General features: G+C 39.7%; 1 protein-coding gene across 20 annotated transcripts in view; it reads left to right on the top strand.

Annotated features, from left to right (window-relative positions):
- The window catches only part of ZBBX (zinc finger B-box domain containing), a 229485-nt gene that overhangs the window by 120811 nt on the left and 87605 nt on the right, over positions 1–21069 (top strand). For 11 of the 20 annotated variants that reach the window (XR_924174.3, XR_924173.2, XM_024453753.2 and 8 more), the window contains 2 exons: positions 3861–3905; positions 4581–4838. Coding sequence is in view for 18 of the 20 variants with exons in the window: in XM_024453753.2 (XP_024309521.1) it covers positions 3861–3905; positions 4581–4838 (303 nt within the window). In the remaining 2 variants the exon portion in view is untranslated. The remainder of the gene's footprint in view (positions 1–3860; positions 3906–4580; positions 4839–21069) is intronic. The other 9 variants (NM_001377489.1, NM_001199202.2, NM_024687.4 and 6 more) reach the window with 1 other exon arrangement.

Here is a 21069-nt window from a genome sequence, read left to right as displayed (position 1 = left end):
AGTGTAGATTGGCAAGATATTAGAGACTAGGTAACATTCAGTTGAGTCTTTAAAAAGTTATAATATTTACCAGTTAGAGAAGGTAGGAAATGGCTTTCTGAACAGAGACAATGGTCTAAAATAAACTAAAAATTGCCTGGCTCTGTCACAAGTTATAGAAATCTTGTATTCTGCACTGATGCCAGTATATAGAGGAATTCCCATTTCCATAACAATTAAGAAGTCATGAATGTAAAAACATCGTAGCTATGTGTGTTTAGCAGCAAGTTTATTCATTCTTCTCATCCCTGCCACAACTTAATCCTCCCCTAGCCCATCTTCCTGCCTCTGGAAATGGCAACTGTATCCAAACATTGATTAAGTCTGAAATTTGGGAGTCATCTTGCCTCTCACTCAGTGTATCCTATTTATTTTTAGATTCTGCTGATTTCAGCTCTAAAATCAAGCCCAACACTAAACACTTTTACCTTCACTATTCAAGATTAGTCCAAGCCATTTGTCTTCATCTCTCATTTGTCTCCCATTTTCACTTTTACTTCTCCCAAAATCATGTTGCTATAATTCATTTCCATTATATTCTACTATTTATAGTCAGTGAGTGAATTGTTTTTACTCATAACAGTATTGATATTTATAGTTTATAGGAAGTGAATCGTACTTTCCATAAATGTAAACCATATATTGTATCATGCCATTCTATTGTCTAAAGCATTCCATGGATCCCTATAGAAAGTAGAAAAAAGTATGCCTTACCATGTATCACACAGCAACACCTTGGTTGGCTACCCGTCTCTCCTAACTGCATCTTCTCCTACACTGTAGCCACATTTACTTTCTTTCTGTTCTTAAGCCACTCTCTTACTCACTTCTTAGCCTTAGAATTAGATCTTACCTCTTCTCCAGGATGCTCTGAAATTTCCCTCTCCATTCTCACACTCTTCATATGATTGATTCTTTTCCATTATTCAGCTTCAGTCCAGATGCTACCTCCATAGAGAGACCTTCTGGCACCACCCTATCTAGTGCTGGTCTCTTGAGTTCCTCTATCACATTTACCTTCTTTTATTTTTCTTGTAAAAGCTATCACTATTTAACATCATCTTATTAGCTTTTTTCCTGCTTTCTCTTACCCTTGGTTGGAAAGAAATCAAGGACTAGTCTGTCCTGTTCATTGGGGTATCTTCAGTAATGGAACAGGGCCTGGCCTATTGTAAGTGCTCAGTAAGTGTTTTCCAATTAGTAGAGTAGGCTAGTAGAACTGTGTGTTAGTTTGGAGTGCAACTTGAGGGTGGAGGTGATGTCTTATTCCCTTTTGAATACCCCAATCCTGACACAGTGCCTGGCAGTTTTAGAGGGTGATAAATAATTTTATAATTGAATTTGATTGAGTATTAATTCACAAGCTCTCAGAGTTGGAAGGAATTTAAGACGTTCTACTATCCAGTTCCTGAATTTTGTATTTCACAGGTCATAAGCTGTTTTCTAATTCTATAAGATAACACAATAACATTCTTAGTTACCTAGTTTAGTATTCTTTCCACTTAACCATGCTGCTAAATAAAATTTGTATATAAATTTAAGAATTCTTAGAAAATACATTTCTAAGAATTCTTTTTATGTATAAATTCTCAGCAGTTGATACAGTGAAACATGAATGTCAATAGACAACAGTGTTTTGCAAACTTTATTTAAGATCAAAATACTGGGTCCTTTGATAAGAATATTATTTGTTATTAAAACGCTACCTAAAATTATGTTGCTATAGTTACATTTCATCTAATTCTATTGTTATATTTAGAATAGCAATAACGATTATCATTCAGTGAATTATTCCTATTTTTTATATCCTTACCAGTAATATTGTATCCATTAATATGATTTAAAGTCACTATTGAATTTTATCTTCCCAATAGTTGGCTTAGTTTTATTAGTAATCATAGAGCATATATTCTTCAGTTAACACCAAGGAAAATTTATTTTGTTACATTTAGAATATAACTGATCAGTGTTAACCAATAATTTCTTATGATTACATTGACAGTGATGGCGCATGTTACTCCAAAAGTAACTTCTTATGCTTTTAATCTACAAATTGAGATTTTTTTTAAAAAAAATATGGAATGATCCCCTCAATCATGGCATTTTTAACTAGTGCCAGTGTTAATGTTGTGTTATATCTTAAACTTAACCGTAACATTAGTACCCTTATATATTAAACATTAGAAAGAATGATATATTGGCTTAAAAGAACAATAAACAAAATCAAGAATCAAACTGGGGCCTCTTCTGTCTGTTTCTGTGTTTTAGTTACTTTAAATTACACTTTGAGCATATTTCCAGTAAGAAAGATGGTCTGTTTCTTTGCTGTGTGCTAAGCATAAGTCTGACCTGTCCTTTGTGTACTTTTTCTCAATGGGGATCAATTACCTTTAAATACTGTGGCAATCAAATGTTCTTATTAGTGTTCGTACTCTTCTAGATTTTCTGAAGGGCATCTACATTATATTAAATTTTTCTTTCTTCATTTCTGTGAATTGGCAGAAGTCCAGTCCTTACTCATAGTATTTTCGTTTGGTTTGTTTTTTTAAAGAGTTGTGAATTCCTTTAAATTTTACCTTGATTGAGACATATCATAGTACAGATACTAAAGTGTGGTTTACCCCATAGAGTAGAACTTTTGATTTATATTGCGAATTATTGTTACACTCTCTGACTTGTGCAGCTACTGCTATTGCCTGTGCTATTGCTTCCTTATGTAGACTTGGAGAGTTTGGTTCTTGATTGCTATAAATATGGTTCTTTACATATTATAGATAAAAGAGGAAATCATTTCTAACTTATAGTCATAAAAATAATTCTCAGGGATAATTATATATATATATAGATATAGATATATGTTTTTAACACTTAGGCATATTTTAGCCCATTATTTTTATCTGAGCACAAATAGACACAAAAGATCAGTCTTATTTTAACTTACTCATAATTTTATTTCAATTAAAATTATTTTAAAAATTGATTTCTGAAATTTTCACTAAAGTTGGTACCCTTTGAGACTTACCTTGGCCAATTTTAATTGCTTAAATAATTACATACTGTATTGAGAGTCTTCTTGAGGTATTAGACACATTCGAAGTAGATTTTTTTTAAGTTAAAAAAAGACAAACTCCACTTTGGTAGGCTGAGGCAGGCGGATCATGAAGTCTGGAGATCAAGACCATCCTGGCCAACATGGTGAAACCCCATCTCTACTAAAAATACAAAAATTAGCTGGGTGTGGTGGCACGCGCCTGTAATCCCAGCTTGGGAGCCTGGGGCAGGAGAATCGCTTGAACCTGGGAGGCAAAGGTTGCAGTGAGCCGAGATCGTGCCACTGCACTCCAGCCTAGTGACAGAGCAAGACTCCTTCTCCAAAAAAACTCCCAAAACCCCCCAAAAACAACTCAATAGTCATTAAATATTTAATACATGATTACCGCCTGTAGTCACTTTTTTGAATTTTATATTTTTTGTTGAGTCACTAGAGTGAGAACAATGTTATATGGCATAGGTTCCATCAAATTAGGGTTTTTATGATAATGACAATTGCACCCACCTAATAGTTTTACAAAGCCAGTTTGTGTTAAGGGAGTGCAAAGTTATCTTATAATATAATTATGTTTACTATAAATATATTTACCTAAATCAGAACAATAATTTATTACATTAAAGCATTTACCTGCCCTATGAATTTTTAAATATGTACCTTGAAAACTGTCTTGGCCTTATTAAGTAATATTTTGTGAGAAATACCAAATTAGAAATTAGTTATGTTGTGTTAGTATAAGATTTGAAGAGATTTTTTTTTCCTACTGTTAAAGGAGCAAACATGTTGAAGAAACCAACTAAGTCAACTTTCAAAACAGGTGAAGACAAAGTAGCGACTGTCCTAGAGGAACAATGTAATAACCTAATTTAGATCGGTGCTTCTGGAACTTTTCCAGAAGAGAGTGAGCTCATCCGTAGGAAAATTAGAGACGTGATCTCAATTTCTTTAAAGCCTGTGTTTTTCCAAATATTCATATAGATTTTGTAAATTAGTCTCTTTTGTTGCCATATTTTTAAATGTAAGAATAAATTACATATCATCAAGTAAAATTGGTTTACTAGGAAGTGGCACGATGCTTTTTCTAAGGTTTTTTTTCTTACAAGGTATTAAGTTTGGTATTGTCCTGGAATTTAAGACACATGTCGTGGTGCTTGGCTTTGGAATACGTTATAAAATTGTGTGTTGTTTCTCTACAAAGTTGACTTAGTTTATAGATATTTTCCTTTGTGAATATTAAAATTAGTTTGTTTTCCTCTGAATGTAGGAAAATTAGGAAAAAAATACACAGAAGTGTTCTTTATGACATTGGAAAAGTAATTTGAGATTAAGAAAATGTGGTTAGCTAGAAAGGGTGATAGTCAAAGTTAACTTTTCATAAACTCTGTTACATGAACTTAACTTCTCTGTGTGCAGGGACCTGGTATTTTGTATCTTTAAGTACTCATTCAAATTTTTAAAAGTTGATTTAAAAACTTTTTACTTTTAATTTTAGGTCAGAAATCACAGAGACCTTCAACAGCAAATTTTCCACTTTCCAACTCTGTTAAAGAAAGCTCCAGTTGCCTTTCATCCTCTCATCCTCGATCAAGAAGTGCAGCTGCTCAATCATCATCTAGAGCTGCTTCTGAAATTTCAGAAATTGAATATATTGATATTACTGACCAGAATGAGCTTTCCTTAGATGACACTACTGATCAACATACTTTAGACAATTTGGAAAAAGAATTACAAGTGCTGAGATCTCTTGCAGGTAATCCTATTTTTTTTTTCACTTTAGATAATGCTAATTAACTCTGCCCTCAGCCGGATTCTTCATATCTTGCGCTAACAAAACAAGCCAGCAAACAAGAAAGCTTTCCTTTTTCTTCTTTAACCATCAACCGTTGTGTCTGTTTTCCTGGAAATCCCCGATATCACTCTGAATATGTTTAAAAATGTGTGGATGCCCAGCCACACCAAAGATGGACCCCATAGCCTATAAAACACAGCTAAATTGTGGAATGAATAATTTCATGTGCACGGAAAAAATCTTTTTTTCTCCTTTCTGCAAACCCACTATAGGATTAATCTCTGTAGCTTTATGTAAGCCGCTGTTCAATATCCTTATTGGAAAATTGAGCCATTAGATCTTTTAAAGCAGTGCTTTTCAAGCTTAAATGTTTATACAGATCATTCAGGGGATCTTGTCACCATGAAAATTCTGATTGAGTATGTCAGGTAAGGTAAGATTCTGCATATCTAACAAATACCCAGGTGATGCCAGTGCTGCTAGTTGGCAAACCACATCTTGAAAAATTATACTTGCGCATTTTATTTCCAACTTAAGTGGACATAGTCAGCAATATAGTGACCATATTCTTGAACATGTAAAGGTCTGGCTCAGTAGCAAAACATCAGGGGAATTAATCCTTTTATTTGCATTATAAAGGCACTCACACAGTTTGAAAGAAGCCAGCTGCAGATACAGGAGACAGGCTAGAAAATTCTTTGGTCCCATATATTCCACACTTGCTTTTCCGTTGTTTTTCCTGTTAGTGGTCTCTTCCTTTATTGATCTTGGAGTAACGACTTTGCTATTGTTCTATAAATTATACATCTTTGTTTTGAAAAATTAAAGCAATACAAAATTACAAAAAAAGAAATAAAAACCCACCACAAATTCTAACTACTCTTAAAATAACCATTATTAACATTTAGTGAGAATCATTTTTTACTTATTTATTTATTTATTATTATTATACTTTAAGTTTTAGGGTACCTGTGCACAATGTGCCATGCTGGTACCTCTGCATACATGTGCCATGCTGGCGCGCTGCACCCACTAACTCATCATCTAGCATTAGGTATATTGCCCAATGCTATCGCTCCCCCTACCCCCACCCCACAACAGTCCGCAGAGTGTGATGTTCCCCTTCCTGTGTCCATGTGTTCTCATTGTTCAGTTCCCACCTATGAGTGAGAATATGTGGTGTTTGGTTTTTTGTTCTTGCAATAGTTTACTGAGAATGATGATTTCCAATTTCATCCATGTCCCTACAAAGGACATGAACTCATCATTTTTTATGGCTGCATAGTATTCCATGGTGTGTATGTGCCACATTTTCTTAATCCAGTCTATCATTGTTGGACATTTGGGTTGGTTCCAAGTCTTTGCTATTGTGAATAATGCTGCAATAAACATACATGTGCATGTGTCTTTATAGCAGCATGATTTATAGTCCTTTGGGTATATACCCAGTAATGGGATGGCTGGGTCAAATGGTATTTCTAGTTCTAGATCACTGAGGAATCGCCACACTGACTTCCACAATGGTTGAACTAGTTTACAGTCCCACCAACAGTGTAAAAGTGTTCCTATTTCTCCACATCCTCTCTAGCACCTGTTGTTTCCTGACTTTTTAATGATTGCCATTCTAACTGGTGTGAGATGGTATCTCATTGTGGTTTTGATTTGCATTTCTCTGATGGCCAGTGATGGTGAGCATTTTTTCATGTGTTTTTTGGCTGCATAAATGTCTTCTTTTGAGAAGTGTCTGTTCATGTCCTTCACCCACTTTTTGATGGGGTTGTTTGTTTTTTTCTTGTAAATTTGTTTGAGTTCATTGTAGATTCTGGATATTAGCCCTTTGTCAGATGAGTAGGTTGCAAAAATTTTCTCCCATTTTATAGGTTACCTGTTCACTCTGATGGTAGTTTTTTTTTTTTTGCTGTGCAGAAGCTGTTTACTTTAATTAGATCCCGTTTGTCAATTTTGGCTGTTGTTGCCATTGCTTTTGGTGTTTTAGACATGAAGTCCTTGCCCATGCCTGTGTCCTCAATGGTAATGCCTAGGTTTTCTTCTAGGGTTTTTATGGTTTTTGGTCTAAAGTTTAAGTCTTTAATCCATCTTGAATTGATTTTTGTATAAGGTGTAAGGAAGGGATCCAGTTTCAGCTTTCTACATATGGCTAGCCAGTTTTCCCAGCACCATTTATTAAATAGGGAATCCTTTCCCCATTGCTTGTTTTTGTCAGGTTTGTCAAAGATCAGATAGCTGTAGATATGCGGCGTTATTTCTGAGGGCTCTGTTCTGTTCCATTGATATATATCTCTGTTTTGGTACCAGTACCATGCTGTTTTGGTTACTGTAGCCTTGTAGTACAGTTTGAAGTCAGGTAGTATGATGCCTCCAGCTTTGTTCTTTTGGCTTAGGATTGACTTGGCGATGCGGGCTCTTTTCTGGTTCCATATGAACTTTAAAGTAGTTTTTTCCAATTCTGTGAAGAAAGTCATTGGTAGCTTGATGGGGATGGCATTGAATCTATAAATTACCTTGGGCAGTATGGCCATTTTCATGATATTGATTCTTCCTACCCATGAGCATGGAAAGTTCTTCCATTTGTTTGTATCCTCTTTTATTTCATTGAGCAGTGGTTTGTAGTTCTCCTTGAAGAGGTCCTTCACATCCCTTGTAAGTTTGATTCCTAGGTATTTTATTCTCTTTGAAGCAATTGTGAATGGGAGTTCACTCATGATTTGGCTCTCTGTTTGTCTGTTATTGGTGTAGAAGAATGCTTGTGATTTTTGTACATTGATTTTGTATCCTGAGACATTGCTGAAGTTGCTTATCAGCTTAAGGAGATTTTGGGCTGAGACAATGGGGTTTTCTAGATATACAATCATGTCGTCTGCAAACAGGGACAATTTGACTTCCTCTTTTCCTAATTGAATACCCTTTATTTCCTTCTCCTGCCTAATTGCCCTGGCCAGGACTTCCAACACTATGTTGAACAGGAGTGGTGACAGAATCCCTGTCTTGTGCCAGTTTTCAAAGGGAATGCTTCCAGTTTTTGCCCATTCAGTATGATATTGGCTGTGGGTTTGTCATAGATAGCTCTTATTATTTTGAAATATGTCCCATCAATGCCTAATTTATTGAGAGTTTTTAGCATGAAGGGTTGTTGGATTTTGTCAAAGGCTTTTTCTGCATCTATTGAGATAATCATGTGGTTTTTGTCTTTGGTTCTGTTTATATGCTGGATTACATTTATTGATTTGCACATATTGAACCAGCCTTGCATCCCAGGGATGAAGCCCACTTGATCATGGTGGATAAGCTTTTTGATGTGCTGCTGGATTCTGTTTGCCAGTATTTTATTGAGGATTTTTGCATCAATGTTCATCAAGGATATTGGTCTAAAATTCTCTTTTTTGGTTGTGTCTCTGCCCGGCTTTGGTATCAGGATGATGCTGGCCTCATAAAATGAGTTAGGGAGGATTCCCTCTTTTTCTATTGATTGGAGTAGTTTCAGAAGGAATGGTACCAGTTCCTCCTTGTACCTCTGGTAGAATTCGGCTGTGAATCCATCTGGTCCTGGACTCTTTTTGGTTGATAAGCTATTGATTATTGCCACAATTTCAGATCCTGTTATTGGTCTATTCAGAGATTCAACTTCTTCCTGGTTTAGTCTTGGGAGAGTGTATGTGTCGAGGAATTTATCCATTTCTTGTAGATTTTCTAGTTTATTTGCGTAGAGGTGTTTGTAGTATTCTCTGATGGTAGTTTGTATTTCTGTGGGATCGGTGGTGATATCCCCTTTATCATTTTTTATTGCGTCTATTTGATTCTTCTCTCTTTTTTTCTTTATTAGTCTTGCTAGTGGTTTATCAATTTTGTTGATCCTTCCAAAAAACCAGCTCCTGGATTCATTAATTTTTTGAAGGGTTTTTTGTGTCTCTATTTCCTTCATTTCTGCTCTGATTTTAGTTATTTCTTGCCTTCTGCTAGCTTTTGAATGTGTTTGCTCTTGCTTTTCTAGTTCTTTTAATTGTGATGTTAGGGTGTCAATTTTGGATCTTTCCTGCTTTCTCTTGTGGGCATTTAGTGCTATAAATTTCCCTCTACACACTGCTTTGGATGTGTCCCAGAGATTCTGGTATGTTGTGTCTTTGTTCTCGTTGGTTTCAAAGAACATCTTTATTTCTGCCTTCATTTCGTTATGTACCCAGTAGTCATTCAGGAGCAGGTTGTTCAGTTTCCATGTAGTTGAGTGGTTTTGAGTGAGATTCTTAATCCTGAGTTCTAGTTTCATTGCACTGTGGTCTGAGAGATAGTTTGTTATAATTTCTGTTCTTTTACATTTGCTGAGGAGAGCTTTACTTCCAAGTATGTGGTCAATTTCGGAATAGATGTGGTGTGGTGCTGAAAAAAATGTATATTCTGTTGATTTGGGGTAGAGAGTTCTGTAGATGTCTATTAGGTCTGCTTGGTGCAGAGCTGAGTTCAATTCCTGGGTATCCTTGTTGACTTTCTGTCTCGTTGATCTGTCTATTGTTGACAGTGGGGTGTTAAAGTCTCCCATTATTAATGTGTGGGAGTCTAAGTCTCTTTGTAGGTCACTCAGGACTTGCTTTATGAATCTGCTTGCTCCTGTATTGGGTGCATATATATTTAGGATAGTTAGCTCTTCTTGTTGAATTGATCCCTTTACCATTATGTAATGGCCTTCTTTGTCTCTTTTGATCTTTGTTGGTTTAAAGTCTGTTTTATCAGAGACTAGGATTGCAATCCCTGCCTTTTTTTGTTTTCCATTTGCTTGGTAGATCTTCCTCTATCCTTTTATTTTGAGCCTATGTGTGTCTCTGCACGTGAGATGGGCTTCCTGAATACAGCACACTGATGGGTTTTGACTCTTGATCCAATTTGCCAGTCTGTGTGTGTCTTTTAATTGGAGCATTTAGTCCATTTACATTTAAAGTTAATATTGTTATGTGTGAATTTGTTCCTGTCATTATGATGTTGGCTGGTTATTTTGCTCGTTAGTTGATGCAGTTTCTTCCTAGTCTCGATGGTCTTTACATTTTAGCATGATTTTGCAGCAGCTGGTACCGGTTGTTCCTTTCCATGTTTAGCGCTTCCTTCAGGAGCTCTTTTAGGGCAGGCCTGGTGGTGATAAAATTTCTCAACATTTGCTTTTCTGTAAAGTGTTTTATTTCTCCTTCACTTATGAAGCTTAGTTTGGCTGGATATGAAATTCTGGGTTGAAAATTCTTTTCTTTAAGAATGTTGAATATTGGCCCCCACTCTCTTCTGGCTTGTAGAGTTTCTACCGAGAGATCCGCTGTTAGTCTGATGGGCTTCCCTTTGAGGGTAACCCGACCTTTCTCTCTGGCTGCCCTTAACATTTTTTCCTTCATTTCAACTTTGGTGAATCTGACAATTATGTGTCTTGGAGTTGCTCTTCTCGAGGAATATCTTTGTGGCGTTCTCTATATTTCCTGAATCTGAATGTTGGCCTGCCTTGCTAGGTTGGGGAAGTTCTCCTGGATAATATCCTGCAGGGTGTTTTCCAACTTGGTTCCGTTCTCCCCGTCACTTTCAGGTACACCAGTCAGACGTAGATTTGGTCTTTTCACATAGTCCCATATTTCTTGGAGGCTTTGCTCGTTTCTTTTTATTCTTTTTTCTCTAAACTTCCCTTCTCACTTCATTTTATTCATTTCATCTTCCATCACTGATACCCTTTCTTCCAGTTGATTGCATCGGCTCCTGAGGCTTCTGCATTCTTCACATAGTTCTCTTCGAGCCTTGGTTTTCAGCTCCATCAGCTCCTTTAAGCACTTCTCTGTATTGGTTATTCTAGTTATACATTCTTCTAAATTTTTTTCAAAGTTTTCAACTTCTTTGCCTTTGGTTTGAATGTTCTCCCGTAGCGCGGAGTAATTTGATTGTCTGAAGCCTTCTTCTCTCAGCTCGTCAAAGTCATTCTCCATCCAGCTTTGTTCCGTTGCTGGTGAGGAACTGCATTCCTTTGGAGGAGGAGAGGCACTCTGCTTTTTAGAGTTTCCAATTTTTCTGCTCTGTTTGATGATGGTGATGTACAGATGGGTTTTTGGTGTGGATGTCCTTTCTGTTTGTTAGTTTTCCTTGTAACAGACAGGACCCTCAGCTGCAGGTCTGTTGGAGTACCCGGCCGTGTGAGGTGTCAGTCTGCCCCTGCTGGGGGGTGCCTCCCAGTTAGGCTGCTTGGGGGTCAGGGGTCAGGGACCCACTTGAGGAGGCAGTCTGCCCGTTCTCAGATCTCCAGCTGTGTGCTGGGAGAACCACTGCTCTCTTCAAAGCTGCCAGACAGGGACATTTAAGTCTGCAGAGGTTACTGCTGTCTTTTTGTTTGTCTGTGCCCTGCCCCCAGAGGTGGAGCCTACAGAGGCAGGCAGGCCTTCTTGAGCTGTGGTGGGCTCCACCCAGTTCGAGCTTCTGGGCTGCTTTGTTTACCTAAGCAAGCCTGGGCAATGGCGGGCACCCCTCCCCCAGCCTCGCTGCCACCTTGCAGTTTGATCTCAGACTGCTGTGCTAGCAATCAGCGAGATTCTGTGGGTGTAGGACCCTCCGAGCCATGTGCGGGATATAATCTCCTGGTGCGCCGTTTTTTAAGCCCGTTGGAAAAGCGCAGTATTCGGGTGGGAGTGACCCATTTTCCAGGTGCTGTCTGTCACCCCTTTCTTTGACTAGGAAAGGGAACTCCCTGACCCCTTGTGCTTCCCGAGTGAGGCAATGCCTCGCCCTGCTTCGGCTCGCGCACAGTGCGCGCACCCACTGACCTGCGCCCACTGTCTGGCACTCCCTAGTGAGATGAACCCGGTACCTCAGATGGAAATGCAGAAATCACCCGTCTTCTGCGTCGCTCACGCTGGGAGCTGTAGACCGGAGCTGTTCCTATTCGGCCATCTTGGCTCCTCCCAAGTGAGAATCATTTTAAACATCACTGTTTATATCATAAGTAAACATAGAAGAATATATATTTAGTAGAATGAACAGATTGAAGGAACATGATAAAAATTGTACAAAAATAGGTTTATGCACTCCATAATATATATTTTAAGTATATATTTAGCCAACTTAATAAAAGGAAAATCAAAATCAAATTAAAATTAATTGTACATTTCAGATAAATGTTTTTCCACCACAAAAATATTAAGTTGAACTTATTATAAATGAATTTCCGATGCCGCAAAAGAAACAGCACTCGAATATAAATTTAGTTTCCTCATCAAGGCAATTTTCTTTTGCAAAAGGGTGCCACTTGTGTCAAACAAGGTCACAAGTGCACACTGAACAAAGGACACCAGGGGGTTTTTATATCCTTAACGCGATCCCTATCTCTGTGTCCTTCCCCCATGGGCTGGGGTCAGACTGCAAAATCTGAGCTCATCTGATTGGCTACTTGTAAATATTTTTCTAAATATGGAAAGGAGGGGGACGTGAGGTACAGTGGTGGAGCTTGTGAGACGTGCAGTTTCAAGGGAACGATGGGTACAGGTAACCAAGGGAACAGATGTGAGTTATTGATTAGAACTGACGGGAAGGGGGTAGGCTGTTTACAGTAACTGTTGGCAAGGAGAAACAAGAAAGTTAAGTTGGAGAACAAAGGGTAAGGAAGTTAACAGGCTAAACCTTTTGAAAAGAAACTCAGAAAGATTCATTGTATCTTACAATTCCTCCCTTTTAAATTTTTATAATCTTTTCTCTTCAGACCTTTTTAACATGTTCTGGCTTTGCTGTTCAACTTGGTCTTCTAAAAGGAAAAGCTTATCTGAATAGGGTGGAGGAGAACTAAGGGAGGTTTTAGTGAGTGTTGTCTTTATAAGCTTTTGTACTAGCCCACGGATGCATGGTATGATGCAACACCTAACAAGAATAAGCACACCTATCATGACTGCAAGAGAAGTGAAGATTGGGGCCATGACTCCTTTCCATTTACCAAATCATCTTTCTAGCCATCCTGAAAGAGGGCTATCAATTCCAGAATTTTTAGCTAGTTCATTGGACAAAGCAGTCAGTCTCTGTAAGGCCTTTGTTATGCTTCTGTCGGGGGCAGTATTGTTTGGGATAAAGGTACAACATTGGGTTTTGATCATAATACAAACTCCACCTTTTTCAGCTAACGTCATGTCTAGGGCCATTCTGTTTTCCCAAGCCATTTGGCTAGTAGGTCCTAATTGCTCAACTATTCCTTTGACAGCATTTCTAGTGTAATTAATAAATCATTGCTGATTATAGTAGATATAATTTATCCAATCTACATTTTTATTAATAGTTACCCATGGAAATAATGATTCAAATCCTGCAGCTATTTGATCTCAGGCTTTGAATCTATCAGGTACCCCCTGTGGGACTCCAATTGCATCTAAATAAACGTCAGAGTCAAAAGACCCATAAGGGGCTTCTTTTATTTTGTGGCGTTGTGTTTTTTCTTTTTCTGGTTGATGAACTGCCAGGGTGAAAGGGATAGCCAATTGGACAAGAGCACAAGTACCGCTCCAGTTACCTGGCAGAGTGTCCAGTAAGGGTCCACCATAACACCACCATACATCTGCTTGAGGATGACTAAGGGGCGACTGATGGGTAAGCTCCTGCAAAGGCTTAAGCTCACTGCGTCCTGCTAAGCTGCCAAGGAACACTAAGTTCTCCCCCTGTCATGAGAGACACGAGGTGAAATGAGCAGAAGACCGAAGCTGAATGGCCCTTGGGGGCTGACCCACAGGGTGTTGCACTTTGGGATATAGCAGAGAGAGAGCTTGCCACAATTTGTTGCCCCAAGCCATGGAATCTTAGAAAAGAGCTACCATGCAGCCCATGCCCAGTTGACTGGGAGACCATCTGAGTGGAAAGGGGATGATCTGGGCCTCTGGCCAGCCATGTGCACGAGCATAACAATTGCTTTTATTTAATGTGAGACAGAATATTTGATCCATTCCAACCAGGCGTTTACATCTTGATATCCTGTTTCAATTTCTAAAGTTTGCCTTAGACCATCTACTGCTACAATATCTACTTTAGTATTATCATTAGGTATAGAAGAGATGGCAGTCTGATTAGAAGAAAGCTCAGAAGGAGAAGAGAAGGAAGGGGGTGAAGAGAATGAAGGATTAATAAAACGCATTTCAAAAGACCCTATGAGGTCTGTGCAGCCAAGTTGGCTCCTATGTTATAGAAGCGACTTAAAGTAGGTTTAGGATCAGTAGAGGTGGGAATGAGAATAGAAATGTATATGGGATTACATTGGTTACACTGGCAACTGGGGGAGGTGCTCTCCTTAGTAAAACGAATATATGGTTTTAAGGATATACAACCACTCGCTGATGAGGTCCAGCCTTGATATTCGGTTTTCCACAGGACATCATTCCAGCTATGACAGACTTGTTTTCCTACATTTGTTAAGGAACAAGAGTCTTGGTAGGGGGCGCCTTTCACTTTAAAGGGGCAGAGATACTTTTCTGAGGCTGAGAGTTGCCTCTGACTTTGGAGATCTCTACAGGGTATGACTAGACAAGCGTCAAATGTAATAACTTGGGGTGTGTTTGATTTAGTTAATTAATAACAAGGTGGTCAGCATTGGAAGGTGAAAAGAAGAATGGAAGAGAGTTAAATTTTTCTTAGCTTTAGTTTGAGGGGGTTTTCCCCTGGAATAATGGCCCATGACTTCGGGGTGGACGGTGCTTTCTTGACTCAAGTGTCAAGTCTCTGCTGTCCGGACTGCAGTTCAGTGGTCAGGAGCACTAGATAGGGTCCTTCCCAGGCTGGCTCAAGTTTGCATTCTTTCCAGCTTTTGATGAGGATATGATCCCTGGGCTGATGCTAATGGACCAGGAACTCTAGGAGTGGTGCCTGTACCATGAGACCTTTGGCTTTAAGAGAAGAGAAGGTAAAGGAGAGACCAAATATGTAATTCCTGAGGAATTGATCTTTTGTCTCAAACGTAGGGATATAGGTAGTGGAGTGTAAATAGGGCAGTCCATAGGGCATTTCATAAGGAGAAAGGCCTATATCCTTCTGAGGTGCAGTTTGGATTCTTAACAGGGCAATAAATAGGAAGACATTTGGTCCATGGTAACTGAGTCTCTAGAACTAATTTGGTTAAGTGATTTTTTAAAGTTTGATTCATCCTTTCTACTCTCCCTGATGAAGATGGATGCCAAGGTGTATGATATTCCCATTTAATGTCTAGGTCTTGGGACAACTTTTTAATGATGTGTGCTGTGAAATGGGTTCCATTGTCTGAGTCAGTGTTCTCTGTTAGTCCCAATCTAGGCACTGTATTTTCAATTAGTGCTTTTACTACATTATTGGCCGTTGCATTTGAAAAGGGAATAGCTTCGATCCAGTGAGTGAGGTGATCTACTATTAATAACAAATACTTTAGATGAGCAACTGGGGGCATTTCCGTGTAGTCACTCTGAATACTTTGGAATGGTCTTAGCCCTGGATTCCTCCCCACCAAGGGAGATTTCTTTATAACTTGTTTGTTGGGTTTTTTTTACATATTAAGCAACTGTCCATGACTTGTTTGGCCAAGGTATAAATTCCTATACACCCATGAACTCTGAGAACTACGTCACACATGGCTTTGGGTCCCCAGTGGGTCCCTTGATGCAAGTGAGGCAGGATTTCTCTCAGGAGAGGTTTGGATAGCATTTCCCTTTGGTCTGGTAATACCCATTTTCCTTCTGAGTTTTCTTTGGCCCCTATTTTTATTAATTTTTCTTTTTCCACGGCTGAGAAGACAGGGACTGCAGTAGAGGAAGACAAGGGGTTAAGTGAAAGACAGGTGTTCCAGATGAAACGGCAGCCTGCTTGGCTATCTGATCTGCTAAGTTGTTTCCCTAGCTTTCAAAAGAAAGGCTTTTCTGTTGTCTGGAAACATGAACAATAGCTATTTCTTCAGGAAACTGAAGATTATCTAATACTTGGGTGATTAACTCCTTGTGAACAAGGTCTTGGCTTTTGCTATTAATAAGACCTTGTTTAGTCCAAATTTTTCCAAATGTATGGGCCACCCCAAAGGCATATTTAGAATCAATATGGATGGTTCCTTCCTGCAATTACTTTAAAGCTTGGATGAGTGCAAACAACTCACAAGTTTGGGCAGACCAATTATTAGGCAATTTGCCTGACTCTATTTCTTCAAGAGTTTCCCCATCAATTACTGAATACCCATTGTGTCTTTTTCCCTCAATCACCCAGGAGGAACCATCTATGAATAAGTGTCATCCTGTTTTGAAGGTGGTATCCCCTAGGTCTGGTCTGACCTTTGGTAGTCAATTAAATTGAGACATAGGTGCTCCCTGTTTAGAGTTGGATCTCCTGTTAAGAAACCTGCTGGGTTGAGTGAATTATCAGTAGTTAAGGTTAAATCATCTTTTTCCAGCAAAATAACTTCATATTTCAGGATTCTGGAGTCAGTAAGCCACCTCCCAGCTTTTTGATTTAGTATTGCTCTAACTTCGTGGGGTGTGCTTGCAGTCAACTTTACCCCTAAAGTTAACTTTCTGCTTTCTTCAACTAATATTGCCATAGCAGCAACAGAGTGGATGCATTGAGGCCATCCACAAGTGACTGGGTCTAAAACCTTTGATAAGAAGGCTACAGGCTGCCGGCAGCCACTGTGCTCTTGGGTAAGCACTCCTATAGCCACTCCATTATTTACACTGACAAAAAGGTGAAAGGGCTTTTCTAGAGAAGGCGAAGCTAAAACTAGGGCAGTCATAAGCCTTTCTTTTAATTCCTCAATTTGGTTGACTTCCTCAGAAGTCCACAGGAGATGGTCAGGTTTTTCTGGAGTAGGCTTCTGGTATAGCAGCTTACTGTGTAAGGCATATGAGTCAATCCATAAGCGGCAGTATCCAACTAATCCTAGAAATTTTCTGAGCTCATGCTTAGTTTGAGGCAAGGGTAAATACACGATGCCTTCAACTTGCTCCGGCACTATTCTCCACTTGCCTGCACTTACGAAATGGCCTAAATATTTGACCTCAGGTTCTGCATACTGAAGCTTTTTCTTTGAGACTTGTAGCCCCTCAGAATGTAGATGATCAAGGATATGTATGGAAAAACTGGTTACTTTTTCCACATCCTCTCCTGATATGAGGATATCATCAACATATTGGAGCATGCATGTATGCTTTGGAACAGAAACCTTTCCTAGCACTTGTTCTAAAATCTGACTAAAGAGGTTGGGTGAGTCTGCAAACCCTTGGGGCAAAACTGTCTGCTGATACTGTTGTTTTTACCCTGACTGGGTGTCTTCCCACTTAAAAGTGAATGTGCCTCAGCTATCTTCAGCTAGGGGACATGCCCAGAAAGCATGCTTTGAGTCTGTTACAGTAATCCATTGATGGATATATGGAATTTTACTGAGAATAGTGTAAGGGTTAGGGACAACAGGGTGAATAGTTGGTACTATTTGGTTGATAGCTCTAAGATTTTGTACTAACCGGTATGACCCATCTGATTTCTTGACGGGCAGTATTGGGGTGTTATAAAGAGACATACAAGGCTCAAGAAGCCCATCTTTCATGACACTTTCAATTATGGGCTTTAACCCTATCTGTCCTTCTGAAGGAATAGAGAATTACTTCCTCCTCACCACTTCCTCTGGGGTTTTTAGCTTGATGTGGATTGTGGGAATCTGAAGTTTTCCTTGGTTTCCTTCACAACGAGTGAATACATTTCTCATCTGTGGTGGTGAGTAAATTTAATGAGGCAAGGAATCCTTTTAGACTAACTTATAAGACTATGCCTAACTTCAACATTAATTCTCTTCCTAATAAGTTAGTTCCTGCCTCAGGGATCAATAAAAATTGGATATGAGTCAATCAATCTTAGAATTTAACTTCTGTACTTTCTAAGACTTTTGCTTTAAACCCTTCCACTTTTATCCCAGAGACTCAAAGGTCTTCTGAAGAGCAGGCAATGTCAGATAGAGGGAAACAGAGGAGCGAGCGGCCCCTGAATCGACTAGAAAGGTGATAAGCTCATGATTGGGTCCCACTTCTAAATGTATCAAGGGCTTCTGGTGGGACTTGAAGTAAAAGAGACAGAGCCCCTGAGCCCCCTACTCCTCCTCAGAGGTAATGAGGGAAAGGGCTTGTCTCTCCCTTTGTAATTTGGGACATTCTCTTTTGAAGTGGCCTGCCCTTCCACATCTGTAACACCTCTCTTGTCCTTCTTCTCTCCCAGCTCCAGGACTTTGCAACGTTGTTCCCCCATACTCTTTAGAGGGTCTGGTAGATGAGGGTCTGGGTCCTCTAGATGGAGGCTTGGTTCTTTTAAACGGGGGTCTGGACCTGGTATAGTTTCCGGCCCCCTGGAAGCTTTGTTTAGAAGTATGTGGATTTGGTTCCACCAAGTTTTGCCCTTTGTTTTTGTTTCTCTTCATCTCTTCTAACATATACTTATTGATCTTCTCTGAGAAGTTCACTCAGAGGTCGGTCTTCCCAATTTTCTAATTTTTGTATCTTCTTTGAAATATCTGGCCAACTCTTAGTGACAAAGTGGAGTTTTAACATTCCTTGTCCAAGGGGGTCTTCTAAGTTTAGGCCTGAATATTGTCTCGTTTGGTCCTTCAATCTGTTTAGAAATTTCATAGGCCCCTCATCTTTTTCCTGTTGTATATCAAGTGCTTTAGAGAGGTTGTGGGTTCAGGGTACTGATTCCCTAATTCTCTTTATTATCATCTCCCTTAGGTCTTGTATATTTTCCAAGTGAGCTGGGTTATTATTGTCCCACCAGGGGTCTTGGCCAGGAAGCTTTTGATCTGCGGTAGGAACGTCTTGACTGGGAGGGTGTTCACGCTCCCAAATTACCATAGCAGCCCTACTGATCATCCCTCTTTCTTCCCCCGAGAAGAGAATGCCTAAAATGGACATTAACTCAACCCAGGTGTGTAACTGAGGTCCCAGGGATTGATCAACTTGATCTGCTAACCCATAAGGGTCATCTAATAATGGCTTAAGTTCCTTCTTTAAATTCCAGACTTGTGAACTAGTTAGGGGAGCACTTACAAAGCCAATAGCACCTCCTCCTTGTGGTACCTCTCTCAAGCGGAAGAGAGTCAGAGCTGACTCCATAGATGTGGAGGGAAATGAGAAATTTTGGATATCTCTTTTACATTGTTCTACTTCATGTTGGAGTTCCTTCAGGGAGGGGCACTTAGGCTGAGAGGGAACAGGTTTATGGCATGATGATTCCCAAGAATCAGGATTATAAGGAGGAGGAATAACGTAAGGAGAAGAAGGATCTGGGGCAGGATCCAGGGCAGCAGCAGCTGCCTGAGGGGAAGGATTGGGGGCAATGAGTGGGGGAAGGTGGTCTAGGGGATCCCATGCGCTGGAGTCCTTAGCCATGGAAACCAGGTTTTTTGAGTCTTCATTGTCGGATGCTAGATCGGGCTTTTCCCTAGTTGTTTTTAAGGGATAGAGGAGAACAGGTCCCTGTCTCTAACAAAGAGCATAGTCCAGTTTCTCTTGAGAACACTGAACTTTTATCATTTACATGTTGAATTAGGAGTTGATACATTACATCCTCATTTGACCCAAACTGGCCAGAAGATTGAGGGCTTGAGGAGTGGACCCTGGGTCCAAACAAAACAGCAATATTTTATCATTTGTTGCTTTTTCTTATGTTTAGTTCTCTCAATACCTTTCCAATATTTTAACATGAGACCTAGGGGACTATCTGGGGGAATATATTTATTGCTATCTTTATCCTTTTCACTTCTCATAATACTTGGGGTATTTCCCATGTTGGGTCCTAGTTAGGCTCAATTTCTCATATTAGAAATTTCTTGCCTATCCTTCCCTGGAGGCTTATTAACGCTCAATTCCCTTGTATGAGGAATCTCTTGCCTATCCTTTAGCCCTACCTGCTGAAGGTTCCTTGTACCCTTCTTTAGCTTCGTCCACTCTGGATGCTTCCCTTGCAGAAATATTTCAGGTCCCTCTTATCATGGATGGTGGGCCAGTATAAACCCCTGACGGGACCCCCAAAGGGCCACCCTAAGCCATATGAGGTGACCGTGGAACCGCAGATTGGACTTACTCTGCACAGCAGTGGTAATTGTTACCATTCACACACTTTCAACTTCCAAGGAAATACTTTGTCGCCCCTGTGACTTTTCTTACCTTGGTTTGTGCACAGAGTTTACCTGGTCGCTGCAGTATGTGAGCCCCATTTTCCCAAGCTGCCGGCTTGTTCCTTTCCCGGGTTGCTGAGAGGCCGGGTTTATTCATCACACTGGGTGGGTCTCGATTCCTCAACCTGAAGCCACTGCAATGAGGTGGCGGGGCGTGCCTTCTCACGGGAAAGGACCGGAAATCCCTCCCCAGAGAAGAATGGGCTCCCCATACGAGCCACCAAATTGTTATAAATGAATTTCCGATGCCTCAAAAGAAACAGCACTCGAATATAAATTTAGTTTCCTCAGCAAGGCAATTTACTTTTGCAAAAGGGTGCCACTCACGTCAATCAAGATTGCAAGTGCACACTGAACAAAGGGGACCGGGAGTTTTTTATACCCTTAACGTCATCCCTATTTCTGTGTTCTTCCCCCGTGGGCTGGGGTTGGACCGCAAAATCTGAGCTGACCCAATTGGCTACTTGTAAATATTTTTCTAAATATGGAAGGGAGGGGGATGTGAGGTACAGTGGTGGAGCTTGTGAGACGTGCAGTTTCAAGGGAAAAATGGGTACAGGTAACCAAGGGAAGAGATGTGAGTTATTGATTAGAACTGACGGGAAGGGGGTAAGCTGTTTATAGTAACTTTTGGCAAGGAGAAACAAGAAAGTTAAGTTGGAGAACAAAGGGTAAGGAAGTTAACAGGCTAAACCTTTTGAAGAGAGACTCACAAAGATTCATTGTATCTTACAAACTGTACGAAATTACCCTTTTGTAGACCAAAAAAAGTAGAATATTGGCAACTTTATATGGTTTAATCCATTATTTTTACAAATATACCTTCAAAAGTTGAGAAAAAAGGGGAGGAGAAACATGGCAAAACAGAAGCCTACATCATTCATTTACCCATCCTCCCCGACACTGGAACACCAAATTTTAACAACTGTCTACACATAGGAAAGCACCGTGGCAGGAACCAAAACTCAGGTGAGTAATCACAGTACCTGGTTTTAACTTCATGTTGTGGAAAGAGGTATTGAAAAGGGC

Source organism: Homo sapiens, chromosome 3 (assembly GCF_000001405.40).
Source record: "Homo sapiens chromosome 3, GRCh38.p14 Primary Assembly".
Lineage (NCBI taxonomy): Eukaryota > Metazoa > Chordata > Mammalia > Primates > Hominidae > Homo > Homo sapiens.
The sequence above is the reverse complement of the archived record's forward strand: the minus strand, read 5'-3'. Positions and strand labels throughout refer to the sequence as shown.